A 26,664-nucleotide genomic window follows, 5' to 3' on the forward strand; every position below is an offset into this window, starting at 1 on the left:
GTACCCCCACCCCTCATACCTTACTCAAAGTTGGCATTCAGTACTTATACAGTGCTGGAAAGTTGGCCTTCGGTATTTACATAGTGTTAACTAGTAGAGTTGTGTGTGAGATGCCTGTCTATTCTAATTTTTTGCTGACTCACTCAAACAATTTAAGCTATTACATTTTATTCTCTGCCTCAGTTTTTTTCTCTGTAATTGAAGTAACTTGCTTAATAACTTGCTCTGTAACTTGCTTAAATGTGACTAAGCAAGTTGATAACATATTATTTATCATCACAGATTACATGATTTTCTTTATATAAAAACATGACTATGGGCTGGGCACGGTGGCTCACACCTGTAATCCCAGCACTTTGGGAGGCCGAGGCGGGTGGATCACCTGAGGTCAGGAGTTTGAGATCAGCCTGGCCAATGTGGTGAAACCCTGTCTCTACTAAAAATACAAACATTAGCCAGGTGTGGTGGCGTGCGCCTGTAATCCCAGCTACGTGGGAGGCTGAGGCAGGAGAATAGCTGGAACCTGGGAGGCGGAGGTTGCAGTGAGCTGAGATCACGCTACTGTACTCCAGCCTGGGTGACAGAGTGAGACTCATCTCAAAAAAAAAAAAAAATGACTATGATAATAGTGAAAATGGATGACCTTCTATGTAGGGCTGGCAGTGGGTTTTAAATCACTTTCTAACTTGGGTCAGTTGGTAGAGACTCTCAGGAAAATTGTAATAATAAGAGTTCTAAAAACTTAGTGGAACGAATACCTTGATCAATTATTCATGTCTGCTGTAGACACAAAATCAGAGAGTATAGGTATTTGCTATATTTGGCTCATTTCATTTTAGTTCTGCTAGTTACAAATACAATTTATGTAGTCTGTGGCTAGCGAATACATTTTATCTGTGACTATGAAGCAAAAAGAAGCTAATTGATCCATATGAGGATTGAAGTTATGCTTTAGCTTGCCTCCTACCCATCTCCTTTCATGACACTATAGTCTTACCTATTATGCCATCATAAGAAGATCTGAAATAAATAGGTATTCCTATTTAACAGGTGATTTATCAGGCAGAACAACCCTAATAGCAGTTTATATTTATTGTACCAGAATTGTGACTAGAAAATTGCTTGATATGACTATGTTCAAACCATGACTAAAAAGCTGTATAATATGAATAATAATCTTAAAGATTAGAAAATAAATTTTGTTGCCATTTATCTTTGGTGAAAAACTATACTTTACTCCTTCAGGTTACAGGTTACAAATAAGCATAAAACTTGAAAGCACAGTTTTGATTTTCATCAGGATACTGTATGAAGAAAACAATAGTACTTTTCTTCTAGTGGTACCCTACTTATGCAGCACATAAAATATGGAAAATATATATTATGTTATGTTAGAACACTTAATCTATTAACTTTGGATATCATAATTTATTTCCTTATACAGTAATAAATATGGTCTTTTTAGCCATTCGTTACCATTTTCATGTGCAGTTTTTCAAAAAGGGGTTAGAGATTATCTTAGAAAAAGTTGCATATATTTGTTATCTCCAATTGCTGAGGTCATTTCTCAGTCCTCATCTTAGTTGATGAATCAGCGTATTTTTTGATACGGATGATTTCTCTTCCCTCTTTAAAGCATTTTCAGTATTTGGCTTTAGGATACTGTCCCCCTTGATTTCCTCCTGTCTTTTTGGCCACTTTTTCCCAGTTTCACGTCCATAACCTTTAAATATTTCAAGTCCCCACGACTCAGTTCTTGTATCCCTTCTCTTTTTTTTTTTTCATTTACTCCCTAGATTATCTCATCTAGAGTCATGGCCTCACCATCAGTATGCTGATGGCTCCCACATTTAGATCTCTAGCCCAACTGTGTCCTCTGAATTGCAGATTCATACATTCCATTGGGTGATATTTCCACGGGATATCTAACAGACATCTCATACTTCTTTTAAATTGATTTTTTCTTTTTTTTTTTTAATTTAATTTTATGGCTGGGGACGGTGGCTCACACCTGTAATCCCAGCACTTTAGGATGCCCAGACAGGTGGATCACTTGAGGCTAGGACTTCAAGACCAGCCTAGCCAACATGGTGAAACCTCGTCTCTACTAAAAATACAAAAAAAATTAGCCAGGCATGGTGGCATGCGCCTATAATCCCAGCTACTTGGGAGGCTGAGGTGGGAGGATCTCTTGAATCAAAGTGCTGGGATTACAGGCATGAGCCACAGTGACTGGCCAACATCTCACACTTAACATGTCCAAAACTGAGTCTTGATATATTCCCCTAGCCCCAGATAAACCAACTCCTTGTGTGTTTCTTTTCTTTTTACAGGATCTTGCTCTGTCACCCAGGCTGGAGTGCAATGATGCCATCTCGGCTCACTGCAACCTCTACCTCCTGGGCTCAAGCGATCCTCCCACCTCAGCCTCCTGAGTAGCTGGGACTACAGGTGTGCACCACAAGCCCAACTAATTTTTTTTTGGTATTTTTATAGAGTTGGGGTCTCCCCATGTTGCCCAGGCTGGTCTCGAATTGCTGGGCTCAAGCAATCTGCCTGCCTTGGCCTCCCAAAGTTCTGGGATTATAGGCGTGAGTGAGCCACTGCTGAGCCATATTTATCTCAGATAGTGACAAGTCCATTTTTCCAGTTGTTCAGGCCAAACCTCTTGGCAATTTCTTGACTCCTCTCTCTCACATCCTCTCTAAAGCCTATTATTTCCTCTAATTTCTTTCATATTATACGTATGGACTTACTTACAACCAAGAATATTTCTTCTAATTTCATGTCCTATTACTCTTCCTTCATTCTCTCAGCTTATGCGGTCCTGCCTCAAAGCCTTTGTACTTGAAGTTCTCTTGCGTGTAAATGTTCTTCCTCCAGATATGTGCATGGTGAACTCCCTTACTAACTTCCTTTGGGTCTTTCCCTAACATCATCTCCTATCAAAAAATCAACTGTTCCCAACCTCCTGATATTTCATTCCTTTTACCTGCTTATTTCTTTTCTCCTTCACATTTTTCACTATCTAATATACTTACTTATTTTGTTTATCTGCCAAATGTTAGCTCCTTGATAGCAGGAATTTTTGTCTGTATTATTTGCTGTAATATTGCAAGTGCTTATTGCTGTTCCTGGTGTATAGTAGATGGTCAGTAACTTATGTGTTGAGTGAATAAGTTATCGAATAAGCGTTTAATTCTTCATGAAATAGAAAAAAGAAAATGGTGTTTTTTCATATCAAGAAGCTTTAAAGAATAATTATGTGATTTTCTTAAATATTTAATTTTCATAAATTTATAGTTATATGGGATATATTAATTTGCTAGGTTGCTGTAACAAAGTCCCACAGATTGGGTGGCTTAAACAATAGAAATTTTCTCACAGTTCTGGAGGGTAAAAGTCCTGTAGTTGTGATCAAGATGTCAGTGTGGTTGATCTCTTCTGAGGCCGCTCTGCTTGGCTTGTAGATGGCCGTCTTCTCCCTCTGTCTCTTTTTTTTTTGAGACAGAGCCTTGCTCTATCACCCAGGCTAGGGTGCAATGGCACGATCTTGGCTCACTGCAACCTCCGCCTCCCAGGTTCAAGCAATTCTCCTGCCTCAGCTTTCCGAGTAGCTGGGATTACAGGGACACACCACCATGCCCAGCTAATTTTTTTATTTTTAGTAGAGACAGGGTTTCGCCATGTTGGCCAGGCTGGTCTCAAACTCCTGGCCTCAAGTGATCCACCCGCCTCGGCCTCCCAAAGTGATGGGATTACAGGCGTGAGCCTCTACACCTGGCCCCTCCCTCTCTCTGTACATGTTCTTTTCTCTGTGTCTATGTCCAAATTGCCTCTTGTTACAAGGATACCGATCATGTTGGATTAGGGCCCATCCAAATGACCTCATTTTACCTTAATTACCCCTTTATTTTTTTTTAAGTGTCCAAATGGCCCAATTAATTACCTTTTTCTTTTTTTCTTTTAGACAGGGTCTCACTCTGTTACCCAGGCTAGAGTGTAGTGGTGCAAACTCCTGTGCTGAAACCATCCTCCTGCCTCAGCCTCCCTGAGTAGCTAGGCTTACAGGCATGTGCCACCATGCCCAGCTAAACTTTTTTTTGAGAGGGAATCTTGCTCTGTCACCAGGCTAGAGTGCAGTGGCGCAATCTTGGCTCACTGTGACCTCCGCCTCCCGGGTTCAAGCGATTCTCCTGCCTCAGCCTCCCAAGTAGCTGGGATTACAGGCATGCGCCACCATGCCCAGCTAATTTTTGTATTTTTAGTAGAGATGGGGTTTCACCATGTTGGCCAGGATGGTCTCGATCTTCTGACCTCGTGATCCACCCGCCTCGGCCTCCCAAAGTGCTGGGATTACAGGCATGAGCCACCACGCCCGGTCTAAATTTTTTATTTTTTATTTTTTATTTTTATTTCTGTAAAGGCAGAGTCTTTCTATGTTGCCCAGGCTGGTCTCGAACTTCTGGCATCAAATGATACTCCCACTTCACCTTCTCAAAGTGCTGGGATAATTGGCATAAGCTACAATGCCTGGCCCAATTACCTCTTTACAGGCTCTGTCTCCAAATGCAGTCCTATTCTGATACTAGGGATTAGGATTTAAAGATATGAATTTTCCGGGGGACACAGTTCAGCCCATAACATGGGGTCTTGCTTCAACAGTTAAATCATTTTGTGTGAATTAGACCACTCTTAAAATACCTTGCTCTAAAAGCTCATTGTTTCTTGTAAGACAAATTAATTTATTAAATAAATTGAAGTTATATATGCCTGATTCTCACACACACACATACACACACACACACACATTCACACACACATCTGTATTGTGTACTTACCATGGGTTACACATTTCACTGAATATTTTAGGTAATTATCTCATTTCATCCTTAAATTCCTATAAGATAGAAATTATATTTCCCCATTTTATATATGGGAAAATAGATTCAAAGAGGTTTGTTTGCTTCCCTAGAGAGTTGGGATTGAAACTCAGTTAATTGGATTTGAGTTCTTACCATTCAATTATGGATGTTATAGAACAATGTCATCCAACAGAACTGTCAGCACTGTCCCAATACAGTTGCTACTAGCTACATATAGTTATTAAGCACTATGAAATGTGGCTAATGTGACTGAGAAACTGAATTTTAAATTGTAATTAATTTTAATTAAAGAGCCACATGTGGCTAGTGACCACCATATTAGACAAAGAAGTTATAGATGTTTAAGTTATGAAAATTAAATATAGTAATAAGCAAAAGTAATCACAGTAGTTTCTTGGAACAGAAATGAGGTTTCCTGGGTGTTTCAAAAAGAAATTTATTTTTAATTTGGAAAAATAATATATGCACCTGGTTTTATTCAAATGGTTCAAAAGAGGTTACAATGGGAAATGTCTACTTCTGTTAGTTCCTCCCCAAAGACAACCACGGTTTCTACTTTCTTTTTTCTCTTCCAGAAATAGCCTATAGATATACAAATAGAAATAACCTTTAAAAAATAAAGATAGGCATTTTATTTTATTTTTTATTTTTTATTTATTTTTATTATTATTTTTTTTTGAGATGGATTCTCGCTCTGTCGCCCAGGCTGGAGTGCAGTGGCGAGATCTCGGCTCACTGCAAGCTCCGCCTCCTGAATTCACACCATTCTCCTGCCTCAGCCTCCCGAGTAGCTGGGACTACAGGTGCCCACCACCACACCCAGCTAATTTTTTGTATTTTTAGTAGAGACGGGGTTTCACCGTGTTAGCCAGGATGGTCTCGATCTCCTGACCTCGTGATCCGCCCGCCTCAGCCTCCCAAAGTGCTGGGATTACAGGTGTGAGCCACCACGCCCGGCCAGGCATTTTATTTTTTAACCAAATCACAGTCTAATTATTTAAAAACTTGAAAGAAAATGATTTTTTAAATACCAAATTTATTTTTTTTCACTTCTGATCCTTCATGGAGTGAGATGGACAATATATAAATATATGTTCTTATTTTCTAGTATGAGTTCTTGTAAGAGATTTGAAATATATATGCTCCCAAACTCAAAATATTCTCTACTGCTATTTTATCCTGTAATATTTTTATTAGCCAGCAATTTAAGACCATGTGTTCCAGATAGCTAACCATTTTTAAATTTAATATTGACATGTTATGAAATTATACCTGTACTGTTTACTTTAGATGATAGGTCAATGTTATTTCTACTTGATTACCCATTTTTGTTAACACAACCTTTCTTACTCATTGTATAAGGATATCTATTATATAAAACTTATTAAAGCTTTATTATTCTAGATTTACAACAATTGTGTAATATGATTCTAGTAAACAAAAAAATGTTTTCTTTTCACTACAGAAAACTTGAGGATATTATCTTTAGGAAGAAACAACATAAAGAACTTAAATGGACTGGTAGGTTGTTATTTATTATTATTTTATTTATTTAATTTGCACACATCTATGAATAATTTCTTGGATAAATTCCTTGAAATGGAATTACTAGGTCAAAAGGTATCAGTTTCTTTTAAGGCTTTTGTGACATATTCTCAAGTTACCCTTCAATAGGTTTGCAACAACCTGTACTCCCACCAGTAACGTGTGAGGTTTCCCAATTTCCCATACCAGCCTTGGGCATTTAAAATTTTTTTGACATGTCTTATTTCTATATTTATTGGCCATTTGAATTTCCTTCCAAAGAATGTGAGATGGAACAATAACGTAAAACTAGGCAATTTCAGGAAAGATGAAGTGAATATTTCTTGTATCTGTTCCCGAAAAGACAATACTTTTTGATGTTTATTGTTAAATAATTCATAAACATACTGAAATTTTGTATGGCCCTGGCTGCTTTTCCCCTCCCAATAAATCTAGCTTGTGCTTCGTAAGAGGCAGTGGGGAGCTGAAATTGCAGTGGTTTCCAACAGTAACCTCCCAAGACAAAACAGGCTAACATGACCATCCTGCCCAGTACAGAAACAGTGGTAACCCTGAATAGGAGTCATGTTCAGAGGTGCAATTTTGGAATTATCTCAAATTTGTTAGCCAAACTCTGAATTATATTTCCACCTCTGTGATTCTATTTACCTGCATAAAGAGGTACTGATGAGTTTATAAAATGCTGGAAATTCTTAAGGGTCAGGCTGAGAGCAGTGGCTCACGCCTGTAATCCCAGCACTTTGGGAGGCCGAGGCAGGCAGATCACGAGGTCAGGAGATGGAGACCATCCTGGCTACCACGGTGAAACCCTATCTCTATTAAAAAAATACAAAAAAACTAGCTGGGTGTGGTGGCGGGCGCCTGTAGTCCCAGCTACTTGGGAGGCTGAGGCAGGAGAATGGCATGAACCCAGGAGGCGGAGGTTGCAGTGAGCTGAGATTGCGCCACTGCACTCCAGCCTGGGTGACAGAGCGAGACTCTGTCTCAAAAAAAAAAAAAAAAAAAGAAATTCTTAAGGGTCAGATTCTGGGATTAAATAAAGGAAGTTTCCTAACCCAAAATAATAACCATCAGATGAATTATTTGTTTTCTAATTGGATATGGTGAGTAAAATTCTTAATGATCTGTAAAAATTTGATTTTTTTTTTTTTTGAGACGGAGTCTTGCCCTGTCACCCAGGCTAGGGTGCAGTGACATAATATCAGCTCACTGCAACCTCCGCCTCCCGGGTTCATGCCATTCTCCTGCCTCAGCCTCCCGAGTAGCTGGGACTACAGGCGCCCACCACCACACCTGGCTAATTTTTTTGTATTTTTTTAATAGAGATGGGGTTTCACCGTAGTAGCCAGGATGGTCTCGATCTCCTGACCTCATGATCCGCCTGCCTCGGCCTCCCAAAGTGCTGGGATTACAGGCGTGAGCCACCACACCTGGGCAAAATTTGATATTTGTGATGTTCTAAATAAATTGGTAAGTTTAAGGATATTTAGCCTTCTGTCCAGTTTCTGAGCCTTAGATGGAAAAATTTCAAATATAGAGACATTGTGCATAAAGCGTAAAATATTAAATTGTAATACAGAAATTCAGAATTATTATATTTCAGGCTAAATGTAACTTTGAGTTATCTATAAAGAAATAGTTTGCAGATAAATGTACTCCAGAACTTTTAGTGTCAATATACTTGATGTTCCCCCAGGTATTTATAGAATCCCTTATAGAATCCCAAATTCTCAAGTATTACTATAGCATGTAATTTATTCCATAAAATGTAATAAATACCCAGAGACCACAAATAAATTATAAATATAGGATTAAAGGTATGTATTGTGTATTAAGATGCTATCTGGCTGAACTATCACTTGTTTTAGATATCGTCACTTTTTATACACTCCTATCAATGATAGCCAATAGTTGTTTTTCTTTCCAGGGTGTAATGTGGGGTTTTGTCCAAAAGCTTTATTGCTTATTTGCAGAATAAAGAAAAACAAAGCTATGGCTGGGCACAGTGGTTCATGCCGGTAATCTGGCACTTAGAAGGCCAAGGTGGGAGGATCCCTTGAGGCCAGGAGTTTACCTGGGCAACATAGCAAGACTTCGTCTCTACTGAAAATTTAAAAAGAAATTAGCCAGGCATGGTGGTACATGCCTATAGTCCCAGCTACTCGGGGAGGCTGAGGTGGAAGGATTGATTGCTTGAGCCTAGGAGTTTGAGTTTACAGTGAACTATGATTGTGCCATAGCAATGCAGTCTGGGTGACAGAGGGGAAAAAAAAAAGGAAAGAAAAAGAAAGCTGCATTGGGATGCAGATACTGGGTTTCTAATATGTTCACATACTAGATGACTTATTCATCTAGACACATCTGCCTCATAGCATGATTTAAATAGCTGTCTCAGTAAATTAAAAATGATTACTGTAATGTGTGAAACATGGAATGTTAAGTTGAAGGAAAGGGGTTGATTTATAACTATTCAGGAAAACTATTGAGGTACATTATAAACCCATTTGTATATATGATCTGGCCTTTGCCTTCCTTTCTGATCTCATTTCATGTTTCTCTTCTCCTAGTTGATAATCTCTAGTGACTGGCCTTCTTTCTGTTCCTTGACCATGCACAATTCATTCCCACCTGAGAATCTTTATACTTGGCTGTTCCCTCTGTCTTAAAAACTCTATTGCCATGGATTTCCACAATGCGGACCCCTTCTTAACCCTCACACTTCAGCTCAGATGTCACCTCCTCAAAGGTGACCCAATCACGATGTGGGCTCCTTCTTGATCTTTACACCTCAGCTCAGATGTTGCTTCCTCAAAGGTGACCCAATCACGATGTGGGCTCCTTCTTGATCTTTACACCTCAGCTCAGATGTTGCCTCCTCAAAGGTGACCCAATCACCGTATATCTAAAGCAGCTCTCTAAGCACTAATTCTTTTTGTTTTAGACGAGGTCTCACTCTGTCACCCAGGCTAGAGTGCAGTAGTACAATCACAGCTCATTGCAACCTTGACCTCCTGGGCTCAGGCCATCCTCCCACCTCAGCCTCCTGAGTAGCTGGGGCCACAGGTGTGTGCCATCATACCAAGCTAATATTTTAATTTTTTGTAAAGACAGGGTCCCACTATGTTGCCCAGGCTGATCTCAAACTCCTGGGCTTAAGCAATACTCTGGCCTCAGCCTGAGCTGAGTAATTCCAAAGTGCTGGAATTACAGGCGTGAGCCACCATGCCTGGTGGAGTAACTATTTTTTTGAGCCAGGGTCTCACTGTGTCGCCCAGGCTGGAGTGTCTCCTGGGCTCAAGCAGTCCTCCCGCTTCAGCCTCCCAAGTAGCTGTGACTAAAGACACACCTCATCACACTCAGCTAATTTTTTTGTATTTTTAGTAGGGGTCTCGCCATGTTGCCCAGGCTGGTCTTGAACTCCTGGGCTCAAGCAATCCACCTGCCTCAACCTCCCAAAGTGCTAGGATTACAAGCCTGAGCCACCACGCCTGGCTGAGTAACTCCTACCAGTTGTAATTTTATTTTTTCATGTTACTCATTATTACCTGAAATTCTTGTTCTTGTTCTCTCTCTCTCTCTCTCACACACAAACACACACACACACACACACAAATCCTAATGACCATTCAGTTTTGATTTTTGTTTGCTTAGAGACAGGTTCTCACTCTCTCACCCAGGCTGGAGTGCAGTGGCATGATTACAGCTCACTGTAATCTCGGACTAGTATAGTTTACTATAATCTTGAACTCCTGGGCTCCAGCAATCCTTGCTCCTCAGCCTCCTAAGAAGCTGGCACTACAGGTGGATAGCTGGGATTACAGGTGTGCACCACCTTGCCCAGCTAATTAAAAAAAAAATTTTTTTTTTGTAGTGATGGAGTCTTACTATGTTGTACAGGCTGGTCTTGAACTCCTGGCCTCAAGTGATCCTCTTGCCTCATCCTCCCAAAGTGCCAGAATTACAGGCGTGAGCCACTGTGAGGGCCTGGCCATTTCAGTTTTGTTAATTAGCATCTACAATAGTGCTTGATATATATAGTAGACACTCTGTAAGTGTTTATTCAGTGACTCAACATGTTTTATTACAGTTACACAACTATTAAGTTAAAATTGTAGGCTGGGCGCAGTGGCTCACGCCTGTAATCCCAGCACTTTGGGAGGCCGAGGCAGTGGATCACGAGGTCAGGAGTTCGAGACCAGCCTGACCAACATGGTGAAACCCCGTCTCTACTAAAAATACAAAAATTAGCCAGGCCTGGTGGCGCGTGCCTGTAATCCCAGCTACTTGGGAGGCTGAGACAGGAGAATCGCTTGAATCCAGGAGGCAGAGGATGCAGGAGCCGAGATTGCGCCATTGCACTCCAGCCTGGGCAACAGAGTGAGACTTTGTCTCGATAAATAAATAAATAAGTAAATAATAAAATAAAATATTTTTTTTTTGAGACGGAGTCAAAATTTTAATTCTAGGCCAGGCGTGGTGGCACGTACCTGTAATCCCAGCTACTAGGGAGGCTGAGGCACAAGAATCACTTGAACCTGGGAGGCCGAGTTTGCAGTGAGTCGAGATCACGCCACTGCACTCCAGCCTGGGTGACAGAGCAAGAGACTGTCTCAAAAAAAAAAAAAATTTTTTTTTTAATTCTATAAGTACCATATGTTCATTGCGAAAACAAATCAAGCAATTTATAAATATGTGAAATATGCTGTGAAAATCTTTGGTCTTTCTACCTCCTATTCCCTACCAGCTCCATGAAGTAACAAAAATTTTATTGTTTTGTGCACTTTAAAATATTTTCTGTGGATATACAAATAAATAGCTCTGTGTATATGTGTGTGTGTGTCATATTGTTTGTTCTGATAGTGTACAAGCCATTTTTTCCTGTAATTTAGCTTTTTCTCTCAACAATATATCAATAATATCCTTCAATGTCAATACATGCAGATTTAATACATTAAAAATAGCTGTGTAGTTTTCTACAGTATCAGTATACAATCATGTATTTAACTATTCCTATACTGCTGGGCATTTCGATTATTTCCAGGTTTTTTTTTCTTGGGTGAGGAGTGTGGGTTTTCTCTCTCTCTCTCTCAATTTCTTCCTCTTTCCACAAATCATGTTGCAGTGAACATCTTTGCACACATGTCCCTCAGCAGTTATTTGCGTATTTACATGTGATGGGATAGATTTATGAAAGTAGAAAAGCTGAGGATATTTTTGTGCCTTTAAATTTTTGATAGGTACCTCAAATTGTTCCCACAATGCTAATGCTAGTTTCTATTTCCATCACTGGCACATGGATGAAGATTATCCCCTCCACCCTCAACATCAGTGAGTAGTATTCATTTTTTTTTTTTTTTTTTTTTAATTGAGATGCAGTCTTGCTCTGTCGCCCAGGCTAGAGTGCAGTGGCGTGATCTCGGCTCACTACAAGCTCCACCTCCTGGGTTCACGCCATTCTCCTGCCTCAGCCTCCCAAGTAGCTGGGACTACAGGCGCCCGCCCCCACACCTGGCTAATTTTTTGTATTTTTAGTAGAGACGTGATTTCACCTTGCTAGCCAGGATGGTCTCGATCTCCTGACCTCGTGATCTGCCCGCCTCGGCCTCCCGAAGTGCTGGGATTACAGGCATGAGCCACCGCGCCCAGCCAGTAGTATTCATATTTTTAACATTTGCCAGTATGATAGGCAAAATGGAGTCTGGTGGTGGTGTTGATTTTTTCTTTTTTTTTTAGAGGCAGGGTCTCGCTATGTTGTCCAGGCTGAACTCAAACTCCTGGGCTCAAGTGACCCTCTTGCCTCAAGTCTCCTGAGTAGCTGGGACTACAGGCCACTGTTCGCGGCAAGTACCGTGTTGTTTTAATTTCCATTATCTAGTCAGTTCTGACTTTGAATGTCTTTTCTTTATAAACATATATATAAATATATTTATTTATTTATTTATTTATTTTTTTTGAGACGGAGTCTGGCTCTGTCGCCCAGGCTGGAGTGCAGTGGCATGATCTTGGCTCACTGCAAGCTCCGCCTCCCGGGTTCCCGCCATTCTCCTGCCTCAGCCTCCTGAGTAGCTGGGACTACAGGCGCCCGCCACCACGCCCGGCTAATTTTTTGTATTTTTTAGTAGAGACGGGGTTTCACCGTGTTAGCCAGGATGGTCTCGATCTCCTGACCTCGTGATCCGCCCACCTTGGCCTCCCAAAGTGCTGGGATTACAGGCGTGAGCCACCATGCCCGGCCCATATATTTATATATATATATATATATTTGTGTGTGTGTGTGTGTGTGTGTGTGTGTGTGATGGTGGTCTGACTTTGTCACCCAGGCTGGAGTGCAGTGACACAATCTCAGCTCACTGCAACCTCGACCTCCTGGGCTTAAGTGATCCTCCCACCTCAGCCTCCCAAGTACTTGGGACTACAGGCACGCACCACCACACCCAGGTAATATTTTTTATTTTTTGTAGAGATACGGTTTCACCATGTTGCCCAGGCTGGTCTTGAACTCCTGAGCTCGAGCAATCTGCCCATGTCGGCCTCCCAAAGTGCTTAGGACTACAGGCATGAGCCACTGGGCCCAGCTGAACATCTTTTTATATACTAGTCATTTAGGTTTCATCTTTTGGAAATTGACCAAACACATTTTTAACCTATTTTTCTACTAGATTTATCTTTTTCTTACTGAATTATAGGTACTTTTTAATATCCCTAATAATTATCAATATTGAAAATGCTATTATATTGTTGTTGTAATTATCATTTATTAACCACATAGTAGGCTCTTTACATGCATTATCTCATTTCCAGCTCACAAGTAGATGTTATTATCCTTATTTTAAGATAAAGAAACTGAGGCTCAGTTATGTAAAGTATTCAAATATAGTGAGCAGGTATTCTTTTTTTTTTTTTTTTTTTTTTAGCAGTGCTACCCCATAGGCAGTGTGCCTGGAGTAGCAGTTGTGAACAGGCATCCTTAAACACTGTTGCTGAGACAGGCAGTTTGTCAATAGCTATCACAATATTCAATGTGTATTTCTTTGTCCCACCTATTCTATATTTAGGAGTTTTTCATACATGGACAAAGATGGTAGAGCAAGTATTTCACTGCAACATAGCTTATACAAAAGACTGCAACAATCTAAGTGTCTATCAGCAGTGGACTAGCTAAATATATTAATAAATACTATGCATTGAGGAAAAACAATGAGGTGGAACTTCCCTCTGTGTGTTGAAATGGAATAATTTGCAAGATATATGAAGTGTAGAAAAAGCAAAGTGAATATTTATATGTACATATATGCATAGAGTATTTCTGGTGATAGCTGTTACTTCTGGGCAAGGGAGCTGGGGTATAGGGTGAGAAAGACTTTTCTATTTTTATTTATTTATTTATTTTTTTGAGACGGAGTCTCGCTGCATCCCCCAGGCTGGAGTGCAGTGATTGGATCTCGGCTCACTGCAACCTCCACCTCCCGGGTTCAAGCGATTCTCCTGCCTCAGCCTCCCAAGAAGCTAGGACTACAGGCACATGCCACCACACCCGGCTAATTTTTTTATTTTTAGTAGAGTCAGGGTTTCACCATATTGGCCGTGCTGGTCTGGACTCCTGACCTTGTGATCCGCCTGCCTCACCCTCCCAAAGTGCTGGGATTACAGGCGTGAGCCACCGTGCCCGGCCAAGACTTTTGTTTTTATACTTGTTGGTTTTTTTAAATCTTGTGTACATTTTTAATACTCTTTCTGTTAAAATACTGATTATTTTCTCCTTAAAAAATGCAAACAGAAAAATGCACTCATGTTTGTAGTAGCATTATTTATAATAGCCAAAAGGTGGAAGCAACCTAAGTGTTCACTGAGAGATAATTGGATAAACAAACAAAAAAGAAGCTAATGAAGTAGAGGGGAAGGGCAGAAGGAAAGGGGAGGCAGAGAAGAGGAAGAAGCAGAAGACTTAAGTCATGTTAGTCAGACCCTGGCAATCTGATCACAGTTTCCACATTGAAATTTAATGCAGTTTTCAAAACTGATATATTTTCTCTTAGTTTGTTTCTTGTCTTTTTACCTTATTCGTGGTTACCAAATGGTATTTAAAAATTTTTGTTAGTCAAATCTTTATGGTTTCAGTGTTTTGTATTTTACATAGAAGGTCTTAGGTACTAGATTGTAAAAATAGTCTTATCTTCTTAATTAAAAATTTTAAGTCTATACTCTTAATTCATCTGGAGTTTATTTTTACATGTGTCATGAGGCGCAGGTATCATGTCTTTTTTTTTTTTCTTTAATTGGTTAGCCATTTATTGAAAAGTCTCTTTTTCCTACTGTTTGTAAATGCCACCTGCTAAACTCCTGGATATGCATGGGTAGGTTCCTGGATGGTCAGTTTCTTTCTGTTTGTTGTTCTTTCTATAAATTTCAGCTTCAATATCATGCTGCTTTAATTTTCTTTAACTTTAGAATTTATTTTGATATCAAGAAAAATCCTCTCTCCTTTTTCAAAATATTTGTGGGCATTTACTCTTCAGAGAAACTTGAGAATCATTTTATCAAATTATCTTAATATATCTTGCAAATTATTCCACTTCAGCACATACAGGTAAGTTCCACCTTGTTTTCCTCAATGCATAGTATTAATATATTTAGCTAGGCCACGGCTGACGGACACTTAGGTTGTTGCAATCTTTTGTACAAGCTGTGTTGCTCCACCATCTTTGTCCATGTATGAAAAAACTCCTAAATATTACATTTGTGAATTGATTTGGAGAGAAGTTATAGCTTTATAATAATGAATCTTATGAGAAGACGTATTCATATTTTTTATGTCCTTCAGTAGAATTCCATAGTTTTAATTCCTATAAGACCTTGTATATTTCATGTATAAAGATTTATTTCTGAGTAATTCTTAAATTGACACATTATAATTATACTTATTCATGGGGTACAATGCTATGTTTTGATACATATATATACGTTGTGTAATGATCAAACCAAGGTGATTAGCATATCAATCACTCAAACATTATTTATTTATAGTGAGAACATTAAAAATCTTCTCTTCTAGCTATTTTGAAATACAGTCATGCATCACATAATGACTGGGATATATTCTGAGAAATGCAACATTAGGCAATCGTTGTTGTGTGAACATCATAGAGTGTGCTTACACAAACCTAGATGGTATAGCCTACTACATACATAGGCTATATGGTTTAGCCTATTGCTCCTAGGCGACAAACCTGCTCAGCATATCACTGTACTGAGTGCTGCAGGCAGTTGGAACACAATGGTAAGTATTTGTATATCTAAACATAGAAAAAGTACAGTAAAAATACAGTGTAAAATATAAGAAATGATACAGGTGTATAGAGCATTTATCATAAATGGAGCTTGCAGGACTGCAAGTTTTTCTGGATGAGTCAGTGAGTGACTGATGAGTGAATGTGAAGGCCTAGGACATTACCGTACACAACTGTAGATTTTTTGTTGTTGTTGTTATTTGTTGTTGTTGGGTTTGTTGTTTTTTTGCTTTTTTTTTTTTTGAGACGGAGTCTCACTCTGTCACTGAGGCTGGAGTGCAGTGGCACCCTGTCGGCTCACTGCAACCTCCGTCTCCTGGGTTCAAGCAATTCTCTTGCCTCAGCCTCCTGAATAGCTGGGATTACAGGAGCCCACCACCATGCCCGGCTAGTTTTTATATTTTTTACTAGAGATGGGGTTTCACCATGTTGGCCAGGCTGGTCTCAAACTCCTGACCTCAGGTAATCCACCCGATTCGGCCTCCCAAAGTGCTGGGATTACAGGCATGAGCCACCGCACCCGGTGATTTTATAAAACACTGTACACAGGCTACACTTAATTTATAAACAATGTTTTAGCTGGGCACAGTGGCTCACATCTGTAATGCCAGCACTTGAGGAGGCTGAGGCGGTGGGATCACTTAAGGCCAGTAGTTGGAATCAAGCATGGACAACATAGCGAGACCCCATCTCTACCAAAAAAAAAAAAAAAAAAAAAAAAAAAAATATATATATATATATATATATTAGTTGGGTGTGGTGATGCACACTGTAGTCCTAGGTATCAGGAAACTGAGGATTGCTTGAGCCCAGGAGTTAGAGTTTGCAGTGAGCTCTGATCACACCACTGCACTCCAGCCTGGACAACAGAGCAAGACGCTGCCTCTAAATAAATGAATAAATAAATAAAAATAATATGTTTAGCTGGGCATGGTGGCTCACGCCTGTAATCCCAGCACTTTGGGAGACTGACGCAGGTGGATCACCTCAGGTTGGGAGTTCGAGATCAGCCTGACCAACATGGAGAAACCCCATCTCTATTGAAAATACAAAATTAGCCAGGCGTGGTGGTGCATGCCTATAATTCCAGTTACTTGGAAGGCTGAGGCAGGAGAATCACTTGAACCTGGGAGGCAGAGGTTGCAGTGAGCCGAGATCGCACCTTTGTACTCCAGCCTGGGCAACAAGAGCAAAACTCTGTCTCAAAAATAATAATATTGTTTTTATTTCTTCAATAAGAAATTAACCTTAGCTTACTGTAACTTTTTTTTTTTTTTTTTGAGATGGAGTCTCGCTCTGTTGCCCAGGCTAGAGTGCAGTGGCTCAATCTCAGTTCACTGCAACCTCTGCCTCCCAGGTTCAAGTGATTCTCCTGCCTCAGCCTCCCGAGTAGCTGGGATCACAGGTGCTCACCACCATGCCTGGCTAATTTTTTTTTTTTTTTTTTTTTTTGTATTTTTAGTACAGATAGGGTTTCACTGTGTTGGCTAGGCTAGTCTCGAACTCCTGGCCTCAAGTGATCTGCCCGCCTTGGCCTCCCAAAGTGCTGGGATTACAGGCATGAGCCACTGCGCCCGGCCAACTTTTTTAATGTTAAAAACTTTTCAATATTTTTTTAACTTTTTGACTTTTTTGTAATAACAGCTGGAAACACACATTGTATAGTAGTATAAAAATATTTTCTTTCTTTATTTCATTATTCTATAAGCTTTCTATAAGCTTTTTTCTATCTTTAAATTTTTAAATCTTTTTTACACATTTTTGTTAAAAATGAAGACACAAACACATACATTAGCCTAGGCCTACCCAGAGTCAATATCACTGTCTTCCACCTCCACATCTTGTCCCACTGGAAAGTCTTCAGGGGCAGTAACACACATGGAGCCACCATTTCGTATGACAACAGTGCCTTCTTTCTAGAATACCTCCTTAAGGACCTGTCTGAGGCTGTTTTATAGTTATTTTTTTTTTTTTTTTTTTTTTTTTAGTTGGAGTTTCGCTCTTGTTGCCCAGGCCAGAGTGCAATGGCACAATCTCGGCTCACCGCAACCTCCACCTCCTGGGTTCAAGCGATTCTTCTGCCTCAGCCTTCCGAGTAGCTGGGATTAGAGGCGTGCATCACCACGCCCAGCTAATGTTGTATTTTTAGTAGAGACAGGGTTTCTCCATGTTGGTCAGGCTGGTCTCGAACTCCCTACCTTAGGTGATCCGCCTGCCTCGGCCTCCCAAAGTGCTGGGATTACAGGCGTGAGCCACCGCGCCCAGCCTACAGTTAGCTTTTTTTTAATAAGTAGAAGGGGTATATCTTAAATAACTATAAAAAGTATAGTAAACACATAAACCAGTAATATTGTCATTTACTATCATTATTATGTACTATACATAAGTGTATGTGTTATGCGTGTGTATGGCTGGTGGCTCAGTAGGTTTGTTTACACTAGTATCACCACAAACTTGAATGCCTTGTGCTACCACATTATGACTGCTGGGATATCACTAGGCAATAGGAATTTTTCAGCCCTATTATAATCTTATGGGACCACCATTGTATATAGAGTCAATCATTGATGAAATGTTATGCATTGCATGACTGTATATATTATTGTTAACTATAGTTAACCTGCTGTGCAATAGAACACCAGAGCTTATTCTCCTACATAATTGTAACTTGGTACTCATTTACCAACTTATTCCCATCCTCCCCTCAGCCCCCCACCCCCCTCTCCAGTCTCTGGTAACTACTGTTCTGCTCTCTACTTCCATGAGATCAGCTTTTTTTATTTATTTATTTATTATTATTATTATTATTCTTTTGAGAATAACAAGTTCACTCTTGTTACCCAGGCTGGAGTGCCATGGTGTGATCTCAGCTCACTGCAACCTCCACCTTCCAGGTTCAAGCGATTCTCTTGCCTCTTCCTCCCAGGTAGCTGGGATTACAGGTGCCCACCACCACACCTGGCTAATTTTATATGTTTAGTAGAGACGGGGTTTCACCATGTTGGTCAGGCTGGTCTCAAACTCCTGGCCTCAAGTGATCCACCTACCTCGGCCTCCCAAAGTGCTGGGATTACAGGCGTGAGCCACCGCACCTGGCCGAGATCAACTTTTTTAGATTCCACATATGAGTGAGATCATGCAGTGTCATTCTGTGTCTGATGTGTCACTTAACATAATGTTCTCCAGGTTCATTCACATTGTAACAAATGACAGGATTTCATGCTTTTTTATGGCTGAATAGTATTCCATTGTGTGATATACCATATTTTCTTTATACATTCATTCATTATTGGACACTTAGGTTGATTCCATATTTTGGCTATTGTGAATAGTGCTGCAGTAAACATGGGAGTGCTGATAGCTATCTCTTCGACATACTGTTTTCATTTCTTTTGGCTATATACCCTGTAGTGAGATTGCTGAATCATATGGTAGTTCTATTTTTAATTTCCTGGGTAATTTATAGTTTTTGTTGCTATGATGCATTTCTCTTTAACACCCTTCCTGTTTATATTAAATAATATAAAAGCCATTTATTTTTGTATACTTAACATGTAATCAACTACCTACCAACAATTCTTAACTGTTTATAAATCACATCCCCACAACAATTTTCAAGCAACATTGTGTTACCTGGATTCATTACTTTATACAGAGCAATAATCATCATCATCATCCTCATTACATATAGTCTAAAATAGAGGTCAGCTGGGCATGGTGGCTCACGCCTATAGTCCTAGCACTTTGGGAGGTCGAGGCAGGATTGCTTGAGGCCAGGAGTTTGAGACCAGCCTAGACAACATAGTGAGACTCTTGTCTCTACAAAAAAAAATTTTTTTAAATTAGCCAAGCATGGTGGCACGTGCCTGTTCTAACTACTCAGGGGGCTGAGGCAGGAGGATCACTTGAGCCCAGGAGTTCAAGGCTGCAGTGACCTGATTGTGCCCTGTACTGCAGCCTGCGTAACAGATCGAGACTCTGTCTCTAAACTAAAAAACAAACTAAAAAAATAGATTTTATGGCATTTCATAAAGCTCTCCCACTTCTGTAACCTCCAACATGATATTATTTACAGAGTAGACATTTACTTTTTTGTTTTCAATACTTACAATGGTTTGTTGACCTTAAAAAATCATAAATTTTAATAGCTGAGAGGAACCTTAAAGAACTTGTCCAACTTCCTCATTTTTTCCAATGTTTTTTATGGTGGTGAAATATACATAACATAAAGTTTACCATCTAAAACATTTTTAAGTGTATAGTTCAGTGGTAGTAAGTAGACTTGCACAACCATCACCATCCATCTCCAGAACTCTCTTCATCTTGTGTGTCTGAACCTCTGTAAGCATACAGTAGCTTCCTACTGCCTCTTCCCTGATCCCTGGCACCCACCATTCCACTTTCCGTCTTTACGAATTTAACTACTCTAGGTATTTCATATAAGTAGTATCATACAGCATTTATCTTTTTGTGACTGGCTTATTTAACTTAGCGTAATATCCTCAAGTTTCATCCATGTTGTAGCGTGTGTCAGAATTTCCTTTCTGCTTAATTTTTTTTTTTTTTTTTGAGACTGAGTCTCACTGTATCGCTGAGGCTGGAGTGCAGTTGCGCAATTTTGGCTCGTTCCAACCTCTACCTCCCAGGTTCAAGTGATTCTTCTGCCTCAGCCGCCAAAGTAGCTGGGACTACAGGCATGTGCCACCATGCCCGGCTAATTTTTTTATATTTTTATTAGAGATGGGATTTCACCATGTTGGCCAGGCTGGTCTCAAACTCCTGACCTAAGGTGAGCCGCCCGCCTTGGCTTCCCAAAGTATTGGGATTACAGATGTGAGCCACTGCACCCAGCCCATTCCTGCTTAATGTTAAATGATATTCTATTACGGTATGTATATACCATGTTTTGTTTATCCGTTTGTCTATCAGTGGACACTTGGGTCACGTCCATCTTTTGGCTATTGTGAATTTGCTACTGTGAACATGGGCGTACCAATATCTCGAGATCCCACTTTCATTTCTTCTGAATATGTGCCCCGAAGTGGAATGGCTGGATCCCCTGTTAAGTGATATCAATTATCATATGATAATTAATTTTTTAAGGAACGGCCAAATTGTTTTCCATAGCAGCTGCACCATTTTACCTCCCTGCCAACCGTGTACAAGGTTCCAATTTCTCCACATCCTCACTAATACTTACTATTTTCTGTGATTTTGATAGTAGCTATCCTAATGGGTATGAGATGGTATTTCATTGCGCCAGTCTCCTCATTTTACAGAGTAAGAAACTGAGGGGAGAAATGGCTTGTTTACATGCAGAAGCTGACCAGTTTGCTAAATGACTGTTCAGTTATTGTCCAATTCTCGAAAGAGTCAGCTTATTTAATGACAGATTTCACTGAATTGATTCACTCAAACTTTGCCAGGTTTTCCTCATTGATATTCACTAGACTGCTTCACAAAAATCTTGTCTTTATTATCTACTTAACAAATACTTACAGGAAATTGTATTATTGGCTGGGCACAGTGGCTCATGCCTTAATCCAGCACTTTGGGAGGCCGAGGCGGGCAGATCCCTTGAGTCCAGGAGTTCAAGACCAGCCTGGACAACATCTCTACAAAACCCATCTCTACCAAAAAGACAAAAATTAGCCAGATGTGGTAGTGTGCACCTGTAGTCCCAGCTACTAGGGAGGCTGAGGTGAGAGGATTGCTTGAGCCCGGGGGAGGTTGAGGCTGCAGTTAGCTGTGAGTGTGACACTGCACCCCAGTCTGGGTGACAGAGTGAGACCCTGTCTCAAAACAAAACAAAAAACAACTTTTTTATGTTTGAAAATCATCATAATAAATGTTGGAGAAGACCCTGAATTTTAGACCTAGCTCTATTATTTAATAGTGTGTTCTTAGAAAAAGCCCTTAATCCCTCTGTAATAGAAATCAAATAACCTGCCTTATCGGCTTTAAAGCAGATGTTCTAAGGACCAAATAATATACTCTATAGGAATGTAATTTGAAAACCGTACCATTAATGAACGAGATAAGATAGTGCCATTATTTCCCCTCTTGGTGATTTCAGTATTAGTAACGTATTATGTTTTGTGATTTTTTTTTTTTTTTAGTGGAGCAGTCAGAGAAGGAAGAGTTCAGATTAGTTTGAAGAAGGGAATGGAATGTTCTACTTAGCTCCCTCAATGAGAAAAAAAAAACCTCCCACACAACTACTAGCTCTTCTACAAGTAGACAGGCAGGGTCTAAGTTCACTTTGGAAGCCATTATGTATATCTTTATAAAGAAGAAGACAGAAAGAAAAGCTTAAACATAAACATAAATCAAATTTTGTTCTTTTTCAGGAGGCAGTAGGGGACACATTAGAAGAACTGTGGATCTCCTACAATTTTATTGAGAAGTTGAAAGGGATCCACATAATGAAGAAATTGAAGATTCTCTACATGTCTAATAACCTGGTAAAAGACTGGGGTAAGCTGAGAGTGGCCCTTTGCTAACCTTCTACCGCCTGTTTATAGAAAATAGTCCGAGAGGGAAAAGATGCAAAACGAGAACGTTTATTTCTAAGCACAGAGAGAAAGTGGAAACATTTATGGCTAAGCTCAGAGAGAAACAGCAATAGGAGTTTCTAAATTTTAAATGCTTAACATTTATATTTAAATATTTACTTAGGATGGACCGGGCGCGGTGGCTCACGCCTGTAATCCCAGAACTTTGGGAGGCCGAGGCGGGTGGATCACGAGGTCAGGAGATCGAGACCATCCTGGCTAACACGGTGAAACCCCGTCTCTACTAAAAATACAAAAAAATTAGCCGGGCGTCGTGGCGGGCGCCTGTAGTCCCAGCTACTCGGGAGGCTGAGGCAGGAAAATGGCGTGAACCCGGGAGGCGGAGCTTGCAGTGAGCCGAGATCGCGCCGCTGCACTCCAGCCAGGGCAGCAGAGCAAGACTCCGTCTCAAATACCTAACGTTAAATGACGACTTAATGGGCACAGCATACCAACATGGCACATGTATACATACGTAACAAACCTGCACGTTGTACACATATGCCCTAAAACTTAAAGTATAATAAAAATAAAAAATAAAAAAGTGAAAGAACTTGAAAAAAAAAATTAGGATGAACGTAATCTGATAGGTCCTGGTCCTATTAATCATGAAAAAAATTTAAGCTATTATCCAAAGGCTGAAGTAATCAGTTTAAATTTAATACTTCAAAGGTAGAAGACTTATTTGATATCTATGTTACTTTGCTTTTTTATTGTATATAATTCATTCAGTTATATGCGATGAACTATACCAGTCTCTTTGGATACATAGTTGAATAGGACATTATCCCTGCCCTCAAGAAGTTCACAGCTTAGTGGGGAAAATTAGTTTGTAAGCTGATAATTATAAAACTGTGTGATAAGAGGCCAGGTGCAGTGGCTCTTGCTGGTAATCCCAACAATTAGGGAGGCCAAGGCGGGCAGATCACCTGAGGTCAGGAGTTTGAGACTAGCCTGGCCAACATAGCAAAACCCAAATTTTTTTTTGTAAAAATACAAAAATACAAAAACATAGCCAGGTGTGGTGGTACATGCCTGTAGTCCAAGCTACTTGGGAGGCTGAGGCATGAGAGTTGCTTTAACCCAGGAGACAGAGGTTGCAGCGAGTGGAGATGAAGCCATTGCACTCCAGCCTGGGTGACAGAAGGAGACTCTTTCTCAAAACAAAAAAAAGCAAAACTGTGTGATAAGTTCTGCAATACAGATTTGAATGTGTTGTTTTAAGAATTCAAAGATGAGGGAATGGGTACAGACAAAGGCAGGTTAGCTTAACCTACACTGATGCAGCACAGCATGAAGAAGACCTGTCACTGGAGAGTGATTTGTTCTTTTTGACTTTGAATCTCATCTCGTCTTATTTCATCCTTATGCTAGCATTTAAAGTAGAGAGGTATGTCTTCTTTTTCCCTCCCATCCTGTACTGTCTTCTGAGAATGACTTTATATGGTATAACTTTCCTAGCTTCCTTCAAAATCTTAAACAACTGATTGTCATGAATAGTCACAAACTGAGGGTTAATGATATTGGAATTTAATCCCCAAAATTGTAACAGTAAAACTTGCTGTTTTTTTTTTTTTTTTTTTTTTTTTGAGACAGAGTCGTGCTCTGTCGCTCAGTCTGGAGTGCATTGGTGCAATCTCTGCTCACTGCAACCTCCGTCTCCCGGGTTCAAGCAGTTCTCCTGCCTCAGCCTCCTGAGTAGCTGGGACTACAGGTGCCCACCACTATGCCTGGCTTATTTTTGTATTTTTAGTAGAGATGGGGTTTCACTGTGTTAGCCAGGATGGTCTCGATCTCCTGATGTCGTGATCCGCCCGCCTTGTCCCCCCAAAGTTCTGGGATTACAGGCGTGGACCACCGCACCCGGCCAAAACTTAGTGTTTTAATATGGAAAATATTCTTTTACTTGTAGCTGAGTTTGTGAAGCTGGCAGAACTGCCATGCCTCGAAGACCTGGTGTTTGTAGGCAATCCCTTGGAAGAGAAACATTCTGCTGAGAATAACTGGATTGAAGAAGCAACCAAGAGAGTGCCCAAACTGAAAAAGCTGGATGGTGAGTGATTCTGAGCTGGCTTAGACATATCTTCTAGGCATAAAAATGGAATTTGTGGCATGGAATCATGAAGAGGAGAAAAACTAAAGAAAAAATACCTCTGATCTTCCAGGTCATTTCTATCTATGTAAAATTGAATGGTCTAGGTTTGAGCCAAGGTGAGATGAAAAACTGCTAGGATATTTAGACTGGTACAAGATTCTCCCTAGACCAAAAGCTTATAAGAAAGCTAGGCCTGGCCGGGCATGGGTGGCTCACGCCTGTAATCCTAGCACTTTGGGAGGCTGAGGCGGGTGGATCACCGAAGGTCAGGAGTCTGAGACCAGCCTGGCCAACATGGTGAAACCCCATCTCTACTAAAAATATAAAAATTAGCCAGGCGTGGTGGCGGGCACCTGTAATCCCAGCTACTCGGGAGGCTGAGGCAGGAGAATCACTTGAACTCGGCAGGCGGAGGTTGCAGTGAGCTGAGATTGTGCCATTGCACTCCAGCCTGGGCAAAAAAGAGTGAAATTCCGTCTCAAAAAAAAAAAAAAGAAAAGAAAAGAAAGCTAGGCCTTATAAATCTACATGGAGCCAGTCACAGTGGCACGTTTCTGTAGTCAAGCTATTCAATGAGGCAAGAAGATTGCTTGAGGTCAGGAGTTTGAGACCAGCCTTTGCAATATAGTGAGAAAAACCCTGTATTTATTTTTAAAAAATTGTATATTTATTTTTTCCTGATATAAATTTCCTTCTGCTATGTTGGATTAAAGCTGGAATTATTCAGGGTTTGGTGCTGAGCCTCCTCCTTTTCTCACTCTTCCCTGTATCACAAGGAGGACACCCATGCAAGCAGTAAGAGAGAAGGAGCCTGGCCAGGTGCGGTGGCTCATGCCTGTAATCCTAGCACTTGGGGAGGCCAAGGCGGGCAGATCACCTGAGGTTGGGAGTTCGAGACCAGCCTGACCAACATGGAGAAACCCCATCTCTACTAAAAATACAAAATTAGCCGGATGTGGTGGTGCATGCCTGTAACCCCATCTACTCGGGAGGCTGAGGCAGGAGAATCGCTTGAATCCGGGAGGCGGAGGTTGTGGTGAGCCATGATTGTGCCACTACACTCCAGCCTAGGCAACAAGAGCGAAACTCCGTCTCAAAAAAAAAAAAAAGAGAAGGATCCTGACTTCCAGACAACATAAAGTTCCATGTCTATCTACTATCTACTTGTACTTTTATGTAAAAGAAAAATAAACTTCTAGCTCATTTAAGCAAGTTTAAAAAATAAAGAAAGTTAGGCTTATTCTCAAGTCAGAAAGGTAACACAAAGGTCACAAATTTTGATCAGAATCAAAAATTATTCTGATTCTGCAGAATAATTAGAAATACATGGTAAGCAGTTGCTTTTTTACAATTGGATCAAAATTGTGGTATTCTCTCTGTTTCTCCCCTCATCCCCAGTCTTAGTTTCCCAATATCTTAAGATCAGTGTCAGCATCAGTAGATAACCCTAATTAACTGAGTCAAGTCCCAGCTCCTCCACTTAATAGTTTGTGAAATTGTGCTAATTAATTAATCTCACCAAACCTTGTTCATTGGTAATCTAAAAACTGGAGATGATAATAGTATCATTAGTAATCATTTCAGAACATATATCAGAGTATTATTATGAGGATTAAATAAAATAATCTATGTGAAACAATGAACACATAGAGATAATCTACGCTAAACGTTGTGCTTAACATAAAGTAAGTATTCAAAATATATGTTATTAGCTGGGTGTGGTGGCTCACACCTGTAATCCTAGCACTTTGGGAGGCCGAGGTGGGAGGATCACTTGAGGTCAGGAGTTCGAGACCAGCCTGGCCAACATGGTGAAATCCTGTCTCTAGTAAAAATACAAAATTAGCTGGACCTGGTGGTGGGTGCCTGTAATCTCAGTTACTCAGGAGGCTAAGGCAGGAGAATTGCTTGAACCTGGGAGGCGGTGGTTGCAGTGAGCCAAGATGATGCCACTGCACTCCAGCCTGGGCAACAGAGTGAGACTCTGTCTCAGAAACAAAATAAAGAGTTATAATTATTTTAGATTTTAACTCAATCCCAAAATGCAAGTGTATAAGAAATATTTCAATATAAATCGACCTCATTTTGACTTTGAACACTACCTCCCCAATTCAATTCAGCTGGGCTGTTAAGAAATTCAGTCTGTCATTCTTTTTTTTAGAGTCTGGCTCTGTTGCCCAGGCTGGAATACAATGGCGCAATCTTGGCTCACTGCAACCTCCGCCTCCCGGGTTCAAGCGATTCTCCTGCCTCAGCCTCCCAAGTAGCTGGAACTACAGGCGTGCGCCACCCCCCCC

The 26,664-nt window shown here is 40.4% G+C and overlaps 1 protein-coding gene across 4 annotated transcripts in view, besides 3 other annotated features; it reads left to right on the plus strand.

Annotated features, from left to right (window-relative positions):
• The window catches only part of DNAL1 (dynein axonemal light chain 1), a 58,747-nt gene that overhangs the window by 20,205 nt on the left and 11,878 nt on the right, over positions 1-26,664 (plus strand). For all 4 annotated transcript variants that reach the window (XM_024449715.2, NM_001201366.2, NM_031427.4 and 1 more), the window contains 3 exons: positions 6,352-6,407; positions 22,069-22,195; positions 24,185-24,325. In XM_024449715.2, coding sequence (XP_024305483.1) covers positions 6,352-6,407; positions 22,069-22,195; positions 24,185-24,325 — 324 coding nt within the window. The remainder of the gene's footprint in view (positions 1-6,351; positions 6,408-22,068; positions 22,196-24,184; positions 24,326-26,664) is intronic.
• Positions 2,739-2,908: an enhancer, noted in NCBI's record as "experimental_36567 CRE fragment used in MPRA reporter constructs". NCBI's record gives its function as "activates a minimal promoter by MPRAs in K562 erythroleukemia cells, with activity observed for the introgressed 14:74134717 or rs4635279 variant allele {active_cell/tissue: K562}" and the evidence as "EXISTENCE:reporter gene assay evidence [ECO:0000049][PMID:34662402]".
• Position 2,824: a transcriptional cis regulatory region, noted in NCBI's record as "Neanderthal adaptively introgressed variant 14:74134717 (GRCh37/hg19 assembly coordinates) or rs4635279 in the experimental_36567 CRE". NCBI's record gives its function as "modulates activity of the experimental_36567 enhancer by MPRAs in K562 erythroleukemia cells {active_cell/tissue: K562}" and the evidence as "EXISTENCE:reporter gene assay evidence [ECO:0000049][PMID:34662402]".
• Positions 20,338-20,507: an enhancer, noted in NCBI's record as "experimental_36575 CRE fragment used in MPRA reporter constructs". NCBI's record gives its function as "activates a minimal promoter by MPRAs in K562 erythroleukemia cells, with activity observed for the introgressed 14:74152316 variant allele {active_cell/tissue: K562}" and the evidence as "EXISTENCE:reporter gene assay evidence [ECO:0000049][PMID:34662402]".

This window comes from Homo sapiens, chromosome 14 (genome assembly GCF_000001405.40).
Source record: "Homo sapiens chromosome 14, GRCh38.p14 Primary Assembly".
Taxonomy (NCBI): domain Eukaryota; kingdom Metazoa; phylum Chordata; class Mammalia; order Primates; family Hominidae; genus Homo; species Homo sapiens.